The 17739-nt window shown below is 39.7% G+C and overlaps 4 protein-coding genes across 14 annotated transcripts in view, besides 1 other annotated feature; 2 read left to right on the top strand and 2 right to left on the bottom strand.

Annotated features, from left to right (window-relative positions):
• The window catches only part of CFAP96 (cilia and flagella associated protein 96), a 41393-nt gene extending 35631 nt beyond the window's left edge, over positions 1-5762 (bottom strand). For both annotated transcript variants that reach the window (XM_017008239.2, XM_017008238.2), the window contains exon 1: positions 1783-5762. The gene's annotated coding sequence lies outside the window, so the exon portion shown is untranslated. The remainder of the gene's footprint in view (positions 1-1782) is intronic.
• The window catches only part of UFSP2 (UFM1 specific peptidase 2), a 26428-nt gene extending 11769 nt beyond the window's left edge, over positions 1-14659 (top strand). For 2 of the 3 annotated variants that reach the window (NR_028085.2, NM_018359.5), the window contains exons 7-12: positions 324-470; positions 5761-5925; positions 6136-6260; positions 8340-8416; positions 10578-10702; positions 13718-14659. Coding sequence is in view for 1 of the 3 variants with exons in the window: in NM_018359.5 (NP_060829.2) it covers positions 324-470; positions 5761-5925; positions 6136-6260; positions 8340-8416; positions 10578-10702; positions 13718-13804 (726 nt within the window). In the remaining 2 variants the exon portion in view is untranslated. Of the gene's footprint in view, positions 1-323; positions 471-5760; positions 5926-6135; positions 6261-8236; positions 8417-10577; positions 10703-13717 lie in introns of all 3 variants that reach the window. The other variant, NR_144317.2, reaches the window with a different exon arrangement.
• On the bottom strand, positions 13473-17355 carry ANKRD37 (ankyrin repeat domain 37). Of its 2 annotated transcripts, NM_181726.4 has the most exons (5): positions 17246-17355; positions 16894-17046; positions 15168-15259; positions 14423-14626; positions 13955-14179 (listed from the first exon to the last, which is right to left on the bottom strand). In NM_181726.4, coding segments are annotated over exons 1-5 (477 nt in total). In that variant the 5' UTR covers positions 17273-17355; the 3' UTR covers positions 13955-14178. The 2 variants fall into 2 exon arrangements, with proteins under 2 accessions (XP_016863665.1, NP_859077.1); XM_017008176.2 differs by having other exon boundaries at positions 13473-14626.
• The window catches only part of LRP2BP (LRP2 binding protein), a 33416-nt gene continuing 32585 nt past the window's right edge, over positions 16909-17739 (top strand). For 5 of the 7 annotated variants that reach the window (NM_001385606.1, NM_001377442.1, NM_001377443.1 and 2 more), the window contains exon 1: positions 16909-17343. The gene's annotated coding sequence lies outside the window, so the exon portion shown is untranslated. Of the gene's footprint in view, positions 17657-17739 lie in introns of all 7 variants that reach the window. The other 2 variants (NM_001385605.1, NM_001385604.1) reach the window with 1 other exon arrangement.
• Positions 17370-17739: a silencer, noted in NCBI's record as "silent region_15855". NCBI's record gives its function as "represses an Ori minimal core promoter by ATAC-STARR-seq in GM12878 lymphoblastoid cells {active_cell/tissue: GM12878}" and the evidence as "EXISTENCE:reporter gene assay evidence [ECO:0000049][PMID:35858748]".

The raw sequence follows: 17739 nt of genomic DNA, 5'->3' as shown, positions 1-17739 counted from the left end.
AGTCTTTAGCCTGGATGTATTTTAACAGACTATGTTGTAATAAATAATTATTTAAAAATTAGTTCTCTTACTCTAACAATTTATATTCATTTTTCTCTGTTCCCTTCCAGTTTCTACCCAGATACAGACGTAAACGAAAATAAATCTTACTTGGTTTTAGTTCAGTTTTCACCATCTTTGATGTTAGTGAATTAAACCATAAGTGTTTGGAAACTTTTATAACCTATATATAATTTTCCATGTTTAATAACATCTTTATTTATTGACTAGGAATCTAAATCACCAACATTTTTTCTTTTTCTGTTGATTCTGATTTATTTTAGGAGTTACATGATCTTTTCAATCTGCCTCACGACAGACCCTATTTCAAAAGGTCTAATGCTTATCACTTTCCAGATGAGCCATACAAAGATGGTTACATTAGAAATCCACATACTTACCTTAATCCACCTAACATGGAGACTGGTATGGTGAGTTTAACTAATTATTTATGGGAGTCACTGGATCAGTAATGTTATTAGTTGTTTTTTGTTGGTACCCAGTAGGAGACTTGATTCATTATGTATTCATTCCTAAAACATGATTTATCACCCATCTCTGTTAACAGACATTGCTTAAGATAGCAGTAATTAAAAATGGTCTAGAAAAGTTAGTAATAGGTAGATATACCACATTTATCTTACTAAAATTCTCTTATTTCTTTAAAGGCTTGTCCCATTTTTTTTCATTCTGAACCTGAGAAATCATGCTAATTAAGGGCATAGTCTACCCAAACCACACTGTAGGATAAATCTTTTTTTGTTTTTTTGAGACAGAGTCTCGCTCTGTCACTCAGGCTGTAGTGCAATGGTGTGATCTCAGCTCACTGCAACCTCCGCCTCCTGGGTTCAAGCAATTCTCCTGCCTCAGTCTCCTGAGCAGCTGGGGTTACAGGCACCTGCCACCACACCTGGCTAATTTTTGTATTTTTAGTAGAGACAGGGTTTCACCATGTTGGCCAGTAGCTAGGGTTACAGGCACCTGCCACCACACCTGGCTAGTTTTTGTATTTTTAGTAGAGACAGGATTTCACCATGTTGGCCAGGCTGGTCGTGAACTCCTGACCTCAAGTGATCCGCCATGTAGGCCTCCCAAAGTGCTGGGATTACAGGCATGATTCACCATGCCCAGCCACTGTAGGATAAGTCTAATGAGGAACTAGACTTATTTTCCATGTAACATATACCCGGTTGCCAGGGATAGATCCTCCCTAAAGGTAGCTCAAATAAGAGTGAATTGGCGGAGGGTGGTGGAAGGGTTACTTTAAGGATACATGGAGGCCAGTGAGAAAGGACCTTATAAGGCATCCAAGATTAGGAATACCAATAGAGCTGGGCCTCTTAGAAACAGCAGCCCTGTGACTAGCAGGTGTCTTCAGTCTCTCTCAAGGACTCCGTGGATACCTTGGTGGCATTGCTATTGCTTTCTGTGTATGCTTGTGATCCTAACTGGCCTGTTCTTAACTTTTACTCTGTCTGCTCCACCTCATACCCTCTGTATCCTCACTGTTTCAGCTTGTGTGTCACTTTTTCCTGTTCTTCCTCAGCTGCCCAGTGTATGCCTCATTCCAACTGCATTTCCTGCTCCTGGCTGCCTGGCTAACTCTGCACCTCTCAGTTCAGATTCCCAAGAGAAAGAAAACTTGGCTATCGTATGGTGGCATTTATTAATACCTTCTGAGCGTCCAGGACTTTTGAGGAAATCTTAAGAATTAAAAAAATGCATATACGATACAGTACGTACCCTAGATGAGTTAGGGGCCCACTTGTGGTCTTGGTCATTAGAGTGTACTCAGGGCAGCAGATCATCTGCAAAAGCTGTGGGCCAACCAGCTTCCATAGAAAGTTCCTCACAAAAAGAATAGTTCCTTAGAAGAACCTGGACACACAGAAGGTATTGAATGAGTACTGATTGCTTTTTGACAATAAAATAGGTTCATTATATCTGTATTACAAGGTCGTAAGAAAAATATATACTTTACATATTTATCATGTAATATTTGATATGTACATATAACATATGCAAATTGTAAAGCACAGTGGGGAAATGAATACCAGGGAGCTCCTCCCTAATTTAAGAAGCAAAACTTTACCAGTCTGTGCTCTTTCCCTACCCACTCCTCTGCCTCCTCGACACAGTTCCAGGAGGAACTATTATGGGTTTTGTGTTCATCATTTCCTTCCTTTTTAAAAAGTAGTTTCAGCGTATATGTTACATATCAATCTCAGCAATGTCGCTTTTAGTATTGCATAGTTCTGAGTTTTATAAATATGGTATCATTCTGTACGTAGTCTCTGCAGCTTGCTTTTTCACTCAATATTACATATCAAACATCTCTGGTATTTTGTCTAACCATAGTTAATTATCTTTATGATTTTTTCCAAGTTTTTTTGCTGTTTAGACAATGAACATTCCTATACCTCTCGATACATATGTGCAACAGTTGTTAACATTTTGCTATATCTGCTTCATTTCTCCCTCTTTTTTCCCCCTCTGAACCATTTCAAGGAAAATTATAGATATATTATTTACCCTTAAATACTTTGGCACAAATCTCTCAACAATATAGATGTGCATTCATGAAATAAACTCGGTTTGGTTATGACTCATTATTTTTTATTCCCCTCTGGATTCCATTTGCTAATATTTTACGATTTTTGCATCTATGTTCGTGAATGATACTGGCTTATAATTTTCTTCTCTCATACTGTTCTTATTTTGTTTTTTTATTAGTGATATACTGGTTTACTAAATTAGTTAGGTTAATGTTCCTTTTTTAGTTTTTTAGAGAAGTTTATATAAGAGTGGTATGATCTTTCCTTGGTCATTTGGTAAAACTTGCCTGTAAAACAATTTTGGCGTAGCATTTTCTTTGTGAGAAGATTTTTAGTAACCAATTTAGTTTTGGTAACAGCTTTAGGACTTTTTGATTTTTATAAGTTATTTACCTAGGTTTTAATATATCTTGTAGTCATAATATTTTCTTTTTCATTCTTCATATCATTTTTATGCCTTGTGTCTTTTAAAAAAAAAAAAACTTTTGGCTTTGTTGGCCCCCTCTATTATAACTTCTGTATTTGATTTTATTAATTTTTGCTCTTTACTTTCTTTTTTTTTGCTCTTTCTTTGATTTATTGTCTTTCTTCTAACTTCTTAAGTTGGACATGTTAGCTTATTGCTAATATTTCTTTCTTTCTTTTTTTTTTTTTTTGAGATGGAGTCTTGCTCTGTTGCCCAGGCTGGAGTGCAGTGGCACAATCTTGGCTCACTGCAACCTCCGCCTCCTGGGTTCCAGCGATTATCCTCCCTCAGCCTCCCAAGTAGCTGGGATTACAGGAGGGTGCTACCACGCCTAGCTCATTTTTGTATTTTTTAGTAGAGATGGGGTTTCACCGTATTGGCCAGGCTGGTCTCAAACTCCTGACCTCGTGATCTGCCTGCCTCAGCCTCCCAAAGTGCTGGGATTACAGGCGTGAGCCACTGCGCCCGGCCTAATCTTTCTTTTTTTTGAGATGGAGTCTTGCTCGGTTGCCCAGGCTAGAGTGCAGTGGCATGATCTCAGCTCACTGCAACCTCTGCCTCCCTGGTTCAGGCAATTCTCCTGCCTCAGCCTCCCCAGTAGCTAGGATTACTGGCAATAGCCATACGCCTGGCTAATTTTTGTATTTTTAGTAGAGACAGGGTTTCATCATGCTGGCCAGGCTGGTCTCGAACTCCTGACTTTAGGTGATCTACCCACTCGGCCTCCCAAAGTGCTGGGATTACAGGCATGAGCCACCGTGCCTGGACAGCTTTCTTATTTTCTAATGTAAGCTTTTAAATTTCAAGCAAAGCACTGCTTTTAGTGTATCTTATAGGTTTAATTTGAAGGATTTTAGTTTTGTTCACTTCTAAGTATTTTTATATTTTTCTATTATGGTTTTTCTTTTGTCCATGTATTATTTAGAAGTGTTTGTTAATGTCCAAATATGTCAGAATTTATTTTTCTTTTTTGCTTTTTTTTTCTTCTTGTTTTAACTGGTTTCTGACTCTTGCCTCCTGGTCAGAAAGAATTCTAAGTGAAACTAACTCTGAAATTTATTGAAACTTGTATTTGTTCCCTAAAAAATAATAACATATTTGATGGCTTAAAACTACAAAAATGTATTGTCTCAGTTCTGGAGTTCTGAAAGTAGTATCACTGGGCTGACATCACAATGTCAGCAGGACCACCTTCCCTCCATAGGCTCTTGGGGAGAATCCATTCCTTAATCTGATGGCTGCCAGCATCCTTTGGTTTGTGGCCCCATCATTCCGATCTCTGCCTCCTCAGTCACATTACCTTCTCCTCCTATGCCCCTCTCTTTTAAGAATATATGTGATTGCATTTAGGGCACACTAGGATCCAGGATAACCTCCCCATCTTAAGATCCTTAATCACGTCTATGAATACCTTTGCTTTCCTTTTTTCTTTTACTTTTTGGCACAGAGGGTGCATTCACAAGTTCCAGGGATTAGGACATACATACCTTTTGGGAGCCACTTTTCAGCCTGTCACAATGGTCAAGTTATAAATTTTTCTATCTGTGCTTGGGCAGAATATATATTCTCTAATTGTTGGGTGAGGGTTGGTTCTATCTTGTCCCTATCTCCTCTCACTTAATTTTTTAAAAATATCATCAGTTTGGAGCCAGGCATGGTGGTGTGCAACTGTAATCCCAGCTACTCAGGAGGCTGAGGCAGGAGGATCACTTGAGCCTAGAAGTTCAAGACCAACCTGAGCAACATAGTGTGACCCAATCTCAAAAAAATAAAAACAAAAACCCAGTTCTTTAATAAAAAAAGACATATACATTCTTAGCACTATAAGTAAGAATTTATATGATATTAGTAATTTATTTATCTTTATTTTTTGACCCTTAACTTAGCGTCATCAAATAACATACTTGGGCTGTAATCATAGCAGGTTTATAAATTTAGACACATTCTTCCTGTGTCCCATGATATGGACCCTTCATTTGTTTGTTCATTCCTTTATTCCTTCCTTCATTCATTCAGCATTTATTCAGCAGCATTTATATTAACCGTGTGCCAGGCGTGTTGTAGAAGCTTGGGCCCAAAAATGGATAAGACACAGTGTATGTACTCACTGAGCTCACATATTAGTGTAAGTAGGCAGATATTTTTTAAATGATAAGTAATGTATCATTTAAAGTATATCAAGTCATGATATACTTTGAAAAATAAAAACATAAAGAGGACAGAGATGACAGGTGAGGCAGGGGGTGGGGTAGTGAGAGAATGAGTGGGCCGTTTGTAGACTGGATGGTCAAGGAAGACCTTTGACATCTAAATGGAAACCTGAGTGAAGTAAGAGTGCAAGCTGTACAATTAATTTGGGAAAAGAGAGTTCCAGGCCAAGAGAACCATGAGGCTCCAAGGTCATATTGCCCCTGGTATATGGGAACCGAAAGTAGAGGGAGCAATAGGGAAAAGTTTAGGAGATGAAATTGGAGAGGAGGCCAGAAGGTAGGTCCTGCTGGGCCCTGTGGTAAGGACTTTGAACCTCAAATAAAAAGCCAAGAAGGTATAATGTTAAACCATAGATCTGTGAAGGCATTTTTATAAGGAACTAAAGTAACAGTCTAACTCTAAGAACATTAAACATAATTCGGGAGCATATATAGAATATGTACTTCTATCCTAAGTTAATATTTTACTGTGTTTCTTCTCTGTATATAGATTTATGTGGTCCAGGGCATATATGGCTATCATCATTATATGCAGGATCGCATAGATGACAATGGCTGGGGCTGTGCTTATCGATCTCTGCAGACTATCTGCTCTTGGTTCAAACATCAGGGATACACAGAGAGGTCCATTCCAACACACAGAGAAATTCAGCAGGTACAGAACATACCGTTTTAAATTATAATCAACTGTATGTTTCATTAGCCCTTAATATACCATTGATAATTTTTGTTACCTCATGGTGCAGACTTATTTCTGTTTTGAAGAAAAAAAAATTCTTGTACTGGTAATCAGGGAAAATGCCCTAAACATCGTTTTTAATAGCTGTCTTGTGTATGGATGTTTTATATTTTTAAATACATCAAGGCTCTAGTCGATGCCGGGGACAAACCAGCAACATTTGTCGGATCGCGGCAATGGATTGGATCTATTGAGGTGCAGCTGGTACTAAACCAATTGATCGGTATAACGTCAAAAATCCTGTTTGTCAGGTAAGCACACTTTAAGAAATTAGATAAATCATTTCAAAGTGACAGTCTGTCATTTTAATTAAAATAATAGAAAAAATGGTATCTTCCCTTATTTCTTTTTATTCCTTTTCCTTCTTCCTTATTACTCATTGCTTTATAAATCTCATTTTTTAATCTTAATTTTTTTTCATTTTTTTTTGGAAGGCTCTGATTTTATGAATAAACTTTGTGATGTAATGTATACTTGTATTATTTAGGCCTAATTTTAGCCTAGAAGAGGAAAACTTAAAAATATATTAACGTTGAGTAAAGTCATAAAAATTATATTAACAGTTTCTTTATGCTCCAATCTTTTAAAAAGTCTTAAAAGGCAAAACTCAAATGTTGAACTATGACTGACCTTTTTGTTTACCTCCTGCTCTTTTTCTTTCTAAAACGTTAATAATCTAGTAATGTGTTCAAATAATGTATTCATTTTGTCTTTTCCAATGATCTTAACCATAATTCTAATATTAAAATGAGAAAATATAAATTAATTATTTTCTATGACCATAACTAGCTGACTCCTGATTGTATGAGCTTATGTTTTAAAATACATTTTCTAGCCAGGTGCAGTGGCTCACGCCTGTAATCGTAGCACTTTGGGAGGCCGAGGTGGGTGGATCCCCTGAGGTCAGGAGTTTGAGACCAGCCTGGCCAGCAGAGCAAAACCCTGTCTCTACTAAAAATACAAAAAAAATTAGCTGGGTATGGTGGCGCATGCCTGTAATCCCAGCTACTTGGGAGGCTGAGGCAGGAGAATCGCTTGAACCCAGGAGGTGGAGGTTGCAGTGAGCCAAGATCATGCCACTGCACTCCAGCACAGGCAACAAAGCGAGACTCCCTTTCAAAAAAAAAAAACAGAAAAATACATTTTCTAAAAAAAAAAAAAAAAAAAAAGAAAAGCCAAAAAACAAATAAAATACATTTTCTATTGTTAATTACAGTAACATCGTCCTCATTGTATCTTTTATGTGTTAAAGATGTAATTTTATCCTTTCCTCAGTGGTTATGGAAATCAGTGGTAAAAAAATGACAGACTGGCTGGGCACAGTGGCTCACGCCTGTAATCCCAGCACTTTGGGAGGCCAAGGTGGGTGGATCACCTGAGGTTGGCAGTTTGACACCAGCCTGGCCAACATGGTGAAACCCTGTCTCTACTAAAAATATAAAAATGAGCCGGGCATGGTGGCACACGTCTGTAATCCCAGCTACTCAGGAGGCTGAGGAAGGAGAATCGCTTGAACCTGAGAGGCGGAGGTTGCAGTGAGCTGAGATCGCGCCACTCCACTCCAGCCTGGGCAACAGAGCGAGCCTCCATCTCAAAAAATAATAATAATATAAAACAATGACAGACTTAAGTAGTGAAGAACTTTTTTTAAAAGTTACAGTTTTGGTACATTAAAACATACGTTCCTCATTAAGCAAGAGCTAAGGTTTAGCACCACCGGGCACCTTCCCCCAAAAAATACCTCCCTTCATTATCCCATCTATCTTTCTCTTTTCAAAAGTAAAAATTCTGAGATTCCCTAAAAATAGTATGTTGCACTTGAAAACATTTTGCAGTTTTCACATTGATTTCACAGACATGTATTTTAGGCCTAGACTCTCCTCTGTTATGTAGACAGGTCAGCGTTTTGGGTCCCAATTTAAAGATGAGGAAATACAGACTAAGAAGTCTACCAGCAAGAAGGCAAGAACCCAGGACTTAACACTCATTCTTCTGATTAATCCATCCATAAGAACTCCCTGAGCACCAAGGTGATGTTTTAACTTCATGTTAAAAACCCAGGCCTCCTTTATACAGTTCAAGAAGCAGAAAATCAAGGTCTTTTAGCGTCTTATCTAGCACACTTGGTGGCCTTAAGTATTTTGAGTTTATGTTGCTTTAAATTGCACAGTTTAATTGCTCTCAGTTCCCTAACACTTAATTTTTTTACATTTATATATTTTTTCAGTAACACCCGAAAAAACAAGAAAGTAGGAAACATTGTCTCCTAGCTCATTATTTGACCGTAGTGTTGGAAGTAGTTCATCTGATAGAAAATGGTTTCTTTCTAGCCAAGGTTCAGAAATTGCCTCTCAAGGACGGGAACTGGCTAATCATTTCCAAAGTGAAGGAACTCCAGTTATGATCGGTAAGCTGTTTCAGACACTGTTTTTGGTAGAGTGAGTAATATGCAAAACTTATCATTGATATAAATATTTAATGTTGCATAAAATCAGTCATTTAAAAAATTTTGAAATTAACTTTTACACCATATGTATGGATCTCTGGATATTGAAAAAAATTTCTAAGGTGGCTTAAAGGTTACAAAAAAGATTATAATAACCAGAAGAAGTAAAGGCTGAGAAATGGTAGCTATGTTCAAACATTTAAAGAGCTGAGAACAGTATTAAAAAGAGGAAACGGTCACTCAGCTGAGCTTCGTAAGTCATGACTCTGTCATAACTGGGCTGGCTTTGTGAGATTTTGCAATTACTTACCTCTGTGGATTTTATTTGTAAAATAAGAAGATTGGATTAGCTGATCTAAAGATGCTTAATTCTTTGAAGAACAAGACCTGTCCTGTGATGACAGAAGGCAAGGTGAGACTAGTGTGTAAGAAATGGAGGTAGAAGCTGGGCATAGTGGCTCACACCTGTAATCCTAGCACTTCGGGAGGCTGAGGCAGGAGGATAGCTTGCATCCAGGAATTCAAGACCAGCATGGGCCAGACCGCGTCTCTACCAAAAAAAAAAAAACACACAAATTAGCTGGCATGGTAGTGTGAGCCTATAGTGCCAGCTATTCAGGAGACTGAGGTGGGAGGATTGCTTGAGCCCAGGAGGCTGCAGTGAGCCAAGAGATCCACTGCTCTCCAGCCTGGGTTACAAAAGTGAGACACTGTCTCAAAAGAAAAAAAAAAAAAAAAGAAATGGAGGTAGGCTGATGTCAGCAAAATATCAGAAAGAACTTAATGAGTAGGCCGGGCCCAGTAGCTCACGCCTGACTCCTGATTGTATGAGCTTATGTTTTAAAATACATTTTCTAGCCAGGCACAGTGGCTCATGCCTGTAATCCAGCACTTTGGGAGGCTGAGGCGGGCGGATCACTTGAGGCCAAGAGTTCGAGACCAGCCTGGCCAACATGGCAAAACACTGTCTCTACTAAAAATACAAAATTTAGCTGGGTGTGGTGGCACACACCTGTAATCCCAACTACTTGGGATGCTGAAACAGGAGAATCGCTTGAGCTGTGAGGTGGAGGTTGCAGTGAGCCGGGATTGCCCACTGTACTCCAGCCTGGGTAGCAGAGCAAGACTCTGTCTCAAAAAAAAAGACTGGGCACAGTGGCTCACGCCTGTAATCCCAGCACTTTGGGAGGCCAAGGTGGGTCGATCACGAGGTCAGGAGATCGAGACCATCCTGGCTAACAGTGAAACCCCGTCTCTACTAAAAAAAAATACAAAAAATTCGCTGGGTGTGCTGGTGTGCGCCTGTAGTCTCAGCTACTCAGGAGGCTGAGGCAGGAGAATTGCTTGAACCTGGAAGGCAGAGGTTGCAGTGAGCCGAGGTCACGCTATCGCACTCCAGCCTGGGTGACGTGAGACTCTAGCTCAAAAAAAAAAAAAAAAAAAAAAACTTAATGAATGGAGTGCTATATCACTGGAGGTACTCAGAGGCAGCAGGACCATCTGCTGAGAGAGGCACTACAGCAGATTGTTACTCTGTTGGGAGGAGTTTATGGCCCTTTCTAAATCCATTTTAGGTAATTATATGGATGTGAATGTAGAATATAAATTGTATGTGATTATAGATATGATTGTATCTTTTGTGTTAAAGATGTAATTTTATCCTTTCAGAGTATATCTGACATTGTGTCTTTTATAGTGTAGGGTAGTCCATTTTAATGCTATTTTAGATCAGTTAATAAGCAAAGTAATGTTGTTTTTTTTTGTTTTTTTTTTTGAGAGTCTTGCTGTGTCGCCCAGGCTGGAGTGCGGTGGCATGATCTCGGCTCAGTGCAAGCTCCGTCTCCCAGGTTCATGCCATTCTCCTGCCTCAGCAGGAGCTGGGACTACAGGCGCCTGCCACCAAGCCCAGCTATTTTTTTTGTATTTTTTTAGTAGAGACAGGGTTTCACTGCATTAGCCAGGATGGTCTCCATCTCCTGACCTCGTGATCCACCCACCTCCCAAAGTGCTGGGATTACAGGTGTGAGCCACCACGCCCGGCCGTAATCTGTCTATTTAAATTGAATAGGCATTTGACATTTGTTTATGCCTTCATTCGTATTTCCTATTTTTTCTTCTATAGGGGGAGGAGTTTTGGCCCACACAATACTAGGAGTTGCATGGAATGAGATTACAGGGCAGATAAAGTTTCTGATTCTAGATCCACATTATACCGGTGCTGAAGACCTGCAAGTTATTTTGGAAAAGGTAAGTATCCATTTAACACAAATTGAGACAAAAGGCAAAGAAGCTAGAAATGAAGGATCACAAACTGGCTGGTAACAGAAAGACAATAAGCTGAGGGCAGAGATCTCCCTGTGTGGAGGCCTTCTGAGGCTGTTGTAAGTAGCCGTCTCTGTATAGGGAATGTGCAAGAACAAAGCACATTGCAAAAGACAAAATTTAGGTTTATAGAAACTTTCTCAGCTATTAAAATTAATAATAGGACACACACTCATAAATATATTCCTTTGGAGATTTTAGAGCTTTCATAAACAAATGTATCAAAGTTTATCAATGTCTTAAAATAGATGAGCAGAATATATAAACTTTTAAAATTTTAGAATTAACCAAAAGATAGCTAAGCAGTATGCTAGACATTATGGAGGCTTGACTAATTTTAATTCATTTACATATAACCTAATCTCATTCTATAAAGGGTTTGAAGTTGATACATATTTAAGAGTATTCTTACTTACAATAGCAGATAAAGGAGGTAAAAATTTGTTAATTCATAGGCAACTAATTCTCACATATGAAAACTCAGTACCAAGTCTTTAGGAGAAAGTATTGTAAAACATAATTAACTTGAATTTTAAGTAACATTTATATTCGCTGCCAAATACATTGAAATTGCAGAGAATACATAACCACCTTTTAAACTATAAACTAAAGATAAAATGTTTTAATATGTTAAAGAGTTTTAAGCCAGGCGTGGTGGCTCACACCTGTAATCCCAGCACTTTGGGAGGCTGAGGTGGGCAGATCACCTGAGATCAGGAATTCGAGACCAGCCTGGCCAACATGGTGAAACCCCATCTCTACTAAAAATGCAAAAATAAGCCAGGTGTGGTGGTGGGCGCCTATAATCTTGGCTATTTGGGAGGCTGAGGCAGGGGAATCACTTGAACCCGGGAGGCAGAGGTTGCAGTGAGCTGAGATGGCGCCATTGCACCCCAGCCTGGGCAACAGGAGTGAAATTCCAGCTCAAAAAAAAGTTTTTAATGTGTGTAGTCCAACTCTGTTATATCCTCAGTTTACTGAAGTCTTTTGTTTATGATAAGGGTATAAACACTAATAGGATAGAAATGTGTTGTTACAGTTTTAAGTGTTTTTTTTTCCTTTTCTCTTTCACAGCATTTGGAATTTGAAGTCTATAAAAGGTTTTTTGACTGGTGCATGTATCTTACTGAATATAGTAGCAATATTCTTGTTCTGTAGCAAGGTGTTCATTCCATTCAGTATTTATTAAAGTACCTAACAAGTGCCAGGCACTGTCCTAAGCACTAGTATTACACGAGGTTTTTCGGGAGCTAAAACCTTTAGGGTAGGACAGAGAAGGAGAGTGCAAAAAGGACTCTCGAGAAAAAAAAAATGGTATCTCAGGTGCTTCTACGAGGCTGGTGCTGTGGTGGCCCCTGCCTTGTAGAAACAGTGAAAGCCGCACTGCAGGTAGATCAGTGCGTCCAGAGCTAGGCGAAGAGGTGAGGCTGGAAGGACACACCAAGCTCAGTCAGAAAGGGTGGTCTTTGTGAACCAGGCATTTCGATTTTTTCTTAAAGGCAGGGAGAAGCCTTAATTATTTTCATCATCAAATTTCTCTTTTCTGGTTGACTCAAGGGGCTCTGCACTACATGGCATTATCTAGGTAAGGTTTCTGAACAATTAGAGTAAGGGATTGTCCCTGATTTCTTTCTCTGAGAATTGCAATCTCCATCTTTGCTAGTTCTATTTCTATAGAACTTTTCAACAGCAGAAACCTCCTTGCTCTATTTGTATACACAAGAAACTGTGCAGCCAAGGTCCTGCCATTAAAACTATTGATTCACTTGACTCCAGGAACCCAGGAGGCCAGAGGAGAGTTCCATCTCTGCCTGACCTCTTTGCCTTCTTGTGGTGCTTTCCTGTTTGAAGTTCCCATGCTGGTCATCTCACAGGAAAGAAGCATGTCCTATGCACTATGTCCCTATGCAATCCCATTCTGACACCCTCTCTACCAATTTCTCCTTTAAAAAATCTGGATCTGGTTACCTGGACAAGGCCTTCATGTGTAAAAGGATCAAAAAAAGGTTAAAACAGAATGAGCCTTTTTTCTCTGTCTGTTAAGAGAACAGATTTTAGGACATTAAATTAATAGAGAAAGTTTTGCTGAAAAAATGAGATGATTAATAGAATGCTGGTTACCTAGGGAGAGTGGGGGATTACCTAGGACTGGTAGAGGATTTTTTACTTTTATCTTGTTTTTTGACAACGTGTATCTTATTAGGAGGGAGTCAGACCGCTGCTTGTCACTCACTTCATGGTATTTTCAGAGTCTCAGCCTCCTTGCAAGGATTTCTCAAAGCATTTAAGAATCATATAATACAGACCAGTTATTGGCTTTTAAGTTTTCTTCTTTAATAAAATAACTCAGTGGCCCTAGGAGAAATCTGAGAAATTTTCATACTCTAAATGAGATTTTGCTTGAAAGTAATTTTCTCTGCTGGCAAAAAGGATTAATACTGACATGAAACATGGGAAGTAGAATTGAGTAACACCTGGAATTTGAAAATGAAAGGGCACAGAGTGCCAGGCAGGGGGCAAGCTGAGGTTTCTCACTACAGTACTTCAATCCTAAGATGCCACTGAATGGTCTCTTACAGTCCTTTATGGACTATTAAGAAAAACAGATTGCTAGTTCAATTGTCACATGCTATCAGTTGCAAGTGGTAAAACTATACATCTCAGAATCAGTAAAGTGTGGTATCTGGAATAACAGTTACAGGTAAATTTTTTTTAATGATTTTTATGATGAATTACATACATAGAATTAAAAGTTCAAAAACCTACCTTAAAGGGTAAGATACGTTACTTTTCTATGCTAGTAGGAATTCAAATCCTTGAATGATAAAGCCATTTAGAGTCTTATTCCAAGGTCCTGCTGACAGAGCCTGATGTCACGATTTCCATGACATAATCTTGTAACTTTGTAAAAGGCTTTCCTTTCCCGTCTTCTCTATCCAGGGCTGGTGCGGATGGAAGGGCCCAGATTTTTGGAACAAGGATGCATACTATAACTTATGTCTTCCTCAGCGACCAAATATGATTTAAAATATCTTGGAGTCAAAGACTGCAGTAGAGTGGTATTATAAATTTGTGAATAAAGAATCAGTTTAATTTTTCACATTAAATCCTGGTTCTAGTTTGACGATTTAAATTATGACCTTTTTCAAAGGTTGTAAATACTGCACGGAGAATGTATTTTTTAGACGTTCCTTTAATAACTTAAAAGACAAAGCATACACAACCAGCATATTATAGGCATGTAAATACATGTGTTCTTAAATGGATCTTCACTTGGAAGAAAGTTTTTCGTCCTTCTCAGAAGGAGATTAGACACAACATATGGTAAAGCCAAAAGCAGGAGCTTATAGATTTGCATGAAATGAAGGCGTTCTTCAGACTTCTTCATAACCCACGTGACATCTGTTTTTAAAAACACGTTAACATTAAAAACTTTTTTTTAAAAAGAGTTTTATCCCCAAACTTCCACCATGCAGTCCCATTTTTGGTCTCTAGACTCTGGTAAGTATAACCAGTACTAAAATGTTAATGAGAATGAAACAATACTACTAGAAATACGAGTGTCAGTATTAAATGGAATAATAAATGCTATGCAAACAAGAGATCACTGCGGGAGGAAAAAAGCAGCAGCTCTGAGTTACTTACCAGCACTTCCTTTTCCCACTGGTATTTTCTACACTTCCGAGACTCCGTTTCTGTCTGAGCACGGCAACACAATCATTCCTGTCAGGGTGTTCACTTGCTTTTATTGTCTGCATACATTTAATTGTTGTAAGAAACTTGGCACAGTCTGGAAATCCACATGACCAAGCGAGATCTTCAGCTGTTTGCCCGTTCTTATTACATAAACTGAAAACAGGATAAAAACGGAGTGAAATGAAACATTGAACTTAAGTCTTTTTTTTTATATCTTACAAGGGAATTTTGGGCTCATACAAATGTTGGTTGCAGAACAGAAGAGGTAAAGGATGCATAAGGAAATTGCATTTTTGGTCACTATTGTATCCTCAGCAACTAACAGAATCCAGCATAGAGCGGGCATTCCAGTTCTGAATGAATGTTAGAATTATCTGATGTTTAATACAGTGTATGAGTACCCAAAGGTAGTCAATGGGAACTATAGAATGGGTTTTCCTGAACCGAAACTGAAGTAGAATACAGTCATAATGAACAAAATTGCACCTCTGATTGCTCAGGATCTGACTTTTTACTTACTCGAACTGAGTATTATTCGATAGCACCAACAACCTAAGTTAACATTTAAATGATTAACACTAAATTATCAATTACGCAAGCATTATTTTTAAAAGCACATGTAACTAAGCTTCAGGAGTCTGATTAGTTTAATCCAAGAAAACATAAAATGTGAAGCCACTGTTTTCATACTCACTCAATTTGGGCATCACTGGCTACAAGCAGGCTTAGGCACTCCAGGCTTCCAACTTTTGCTGCCTTGTGTAGTGGAGCTTCTCCTAAAACATCCTTAAGGTAAGATGGTGCATTTTAGAGTCTCCCAAAAACACTTTTTGTGAAAGTTGATGAGTGACATTTAATATTAGCTATTTAAGGAAGCTAGTTAGAACTGCATTGTACTGGACAGGGAATTTTTTTTTTTTTTTTTTTTGGCAGAGAACACCAAAAACTTTTCGTGGGTTTATTTTGTTAATATTCATTCTCAGTTCCGGTTTTGGGTTTGTTTTCAGAAATAAGAAGTCTTAGTCACTTTTAAGACTAAGAAGTCATGTGTTTTTGATACATATAAACCTGCATCAACATCTCTTCTAATTAAAAACACTACTGATAATCGTTTGCAAGTGCAACACTTCAGAAATGCAGAATTAAGTAACTAGTGGACTATTATAACTTCAGCATTCTAGCATACGCTCTGAAATGATCATTCCTTTATTTAGATCTTCTAGATACTTTTAGTGATTACATTAGGGATAGCCAACTCCATGGGCTAATTTGAAACATAGAAATGTACTATGCTTGCATATTCATTTCAGTATGGAACCTTCTAAAAATCTCCTCCTTTGGACTGAATTTTTAAATTCAAGCTTTTTATTTTTGTTTTTTTCCTCGGTAAGCTGCAAAAGCTTTTTATTTTTGATTAGTTCTTTTAGTTTGCTTTTTCATACCGTTTTCATTAATAAAAATGTGTGGCTGGGCGCGGTGGCTCACGCCTGTAATCCCACCACTTTGGAAGGCTGAGGCAGGCGGATCACCTAAGGTCAGGAGTTCGAGACCAGCCTGGCCAACATGGTGAAACCCTGTCTCTACTAAAAATACACAAATTAGCCGGGCACGGTGGCGCGTGCCTGTAATCCCACCTACTAGGGAGGCTGAGGCAGGAGAATCTCTTGAACCCAAGAAGCAGAGGTTGCAGTGAGCCGAGATCGCGCCATTGCACTCCAGTCTGGGCGACAAAAGCAAAACTCCGTCTCAAATAAATAAAAACGTGTAGCCATATGCACATACATTAAAATGTAAGCAAATAAAAAGAGTTCTTCCAGAAAAGTTTACAATTTAAAATTCACCATGCTTTAATATTCAGTGGAAGATGCAAACTACAGTAAGAAAACTCTTTAGGAAATTAGAATGCTTGTGGACATAGCTCCTAAGTATTTCAATTGCTGCAGGGAGACTTTTGGTAATGTAGCAATTACTTCTTTTGAAATAAACTAGATCTGTGCTGTTCAATATGATAGTCAACAGCCACTTAAGGCTAGAGTATTTGAAATGTGGCTAGTCTGATTTGAGATACGCTGTCACACCAGATTGTGAAGACAGAATAAAAGAAAGTGTAAAATATCTAATCAGCAATTGCTTTGATTACATATTGAACTGATAACATTTTGGACAAATTGGGTCAAATACTAAAATTTCATGTTTCGTTTATTAATGTGGCTACTTAAAAACTTCAAATTTCTCATGTCCTCACATCAAGACTGGAAAAAAACTCTTAAATTACATCTGTGTCTTGCATTATATTTCTGTTGGACATCGCTGCTATAGACATGTTTTTAACAGCTGAAACAACTCTTGGCGTCTGAGAAATGTTTGTGTGTGTCTGGGTTGGAGGGGACGGCTGTACACAGCAACAGTTACCTAGTTACCTGCTGGTTGAGGTCAGCGCCCGTTTGCAGCTGCCAGAGAAGAAAGCAAGCAAGGCCGCTTCCTGCGGCTAAGTGGACAGGCGACTGCTTGCAGGGATCCGGGGGTGCGTTGACCGAGGCCCCTGTCTCCAGCAAATGCTTCAGACCATCCACCTGCAGGAAGAGAACAGATCCAGCACCCTTCCCACCTTTGTCCAGTCCCGCGCCCCTCCGGGCTGGAAACCTCCCCGCCCTTCACAACCAGCTCTGACCAGGCAGCGCCCAGTGGTCCGTCCCCGCATTAACGAGAAGACGAATCTAGAAGCTTGAGCCTGCAGGACAAAAGCTCGGGCTCTGTGAGCCCGAATCTCACCTCGGGGTTGCAATCCAGCAACAGCATTTCCCGCCTAAGGCAGATGACAAGAGTCCTTGGAAGTGCAGAGAGGTGAGACACTCGCCGCACCCCGACAGGTAAGAATGCGCAGGCTGGCCCTAGCACGGGAGAATTTAAAGACCGCTGGGACTTCCGGGCCGGCCCTTGGCAGCCGCGCCCCAGCTCCGGTTACGCCCGAGCAGCCTAATCCTCAACGACCCGGACCCTGTCCAGCCCCGCCACGGCCGCACGTACACAAACACTGGCACGTGGAGCCCGGCGCCGGGGGCAGGGGGAGGGGGCGGGCGCGCGAGGCCATCCGCCGATTGGCCAGCTGTGGATGCGTCAGGCCCTCCCACCTCGGGGCGGGGCCCGCGGCGGCCCCACGGAGCCTCAGCGCGCGTGCGCAGGGTAAGTCAGTGGGCGTGAGAGGACTGGAGTAGGAGCGGGTGGGGCTCCGCGGCCGCCATGAGGCGCGCTGAGTTTGACACGTC

Source organism: Homo sapiens, chromosome 4 (genome assembly GCF_000001405.40).
Source record: "Homo sapiens chromosome 4, GRCh38.p14 Primary Assembly".
In the NCBI taxonomy this organism is placed as follows: domain Eukaryota; kingdom Metazoa; phylum Chordata; class Mammalia; order Primates; family Hominidae; genus Homo; species Homo sapiens.
The sequence above is the reverse complement of the archived record's forward strand: the minus strand, read 5'-3'. Positions and strand labels throughout refer to the sequence as shown.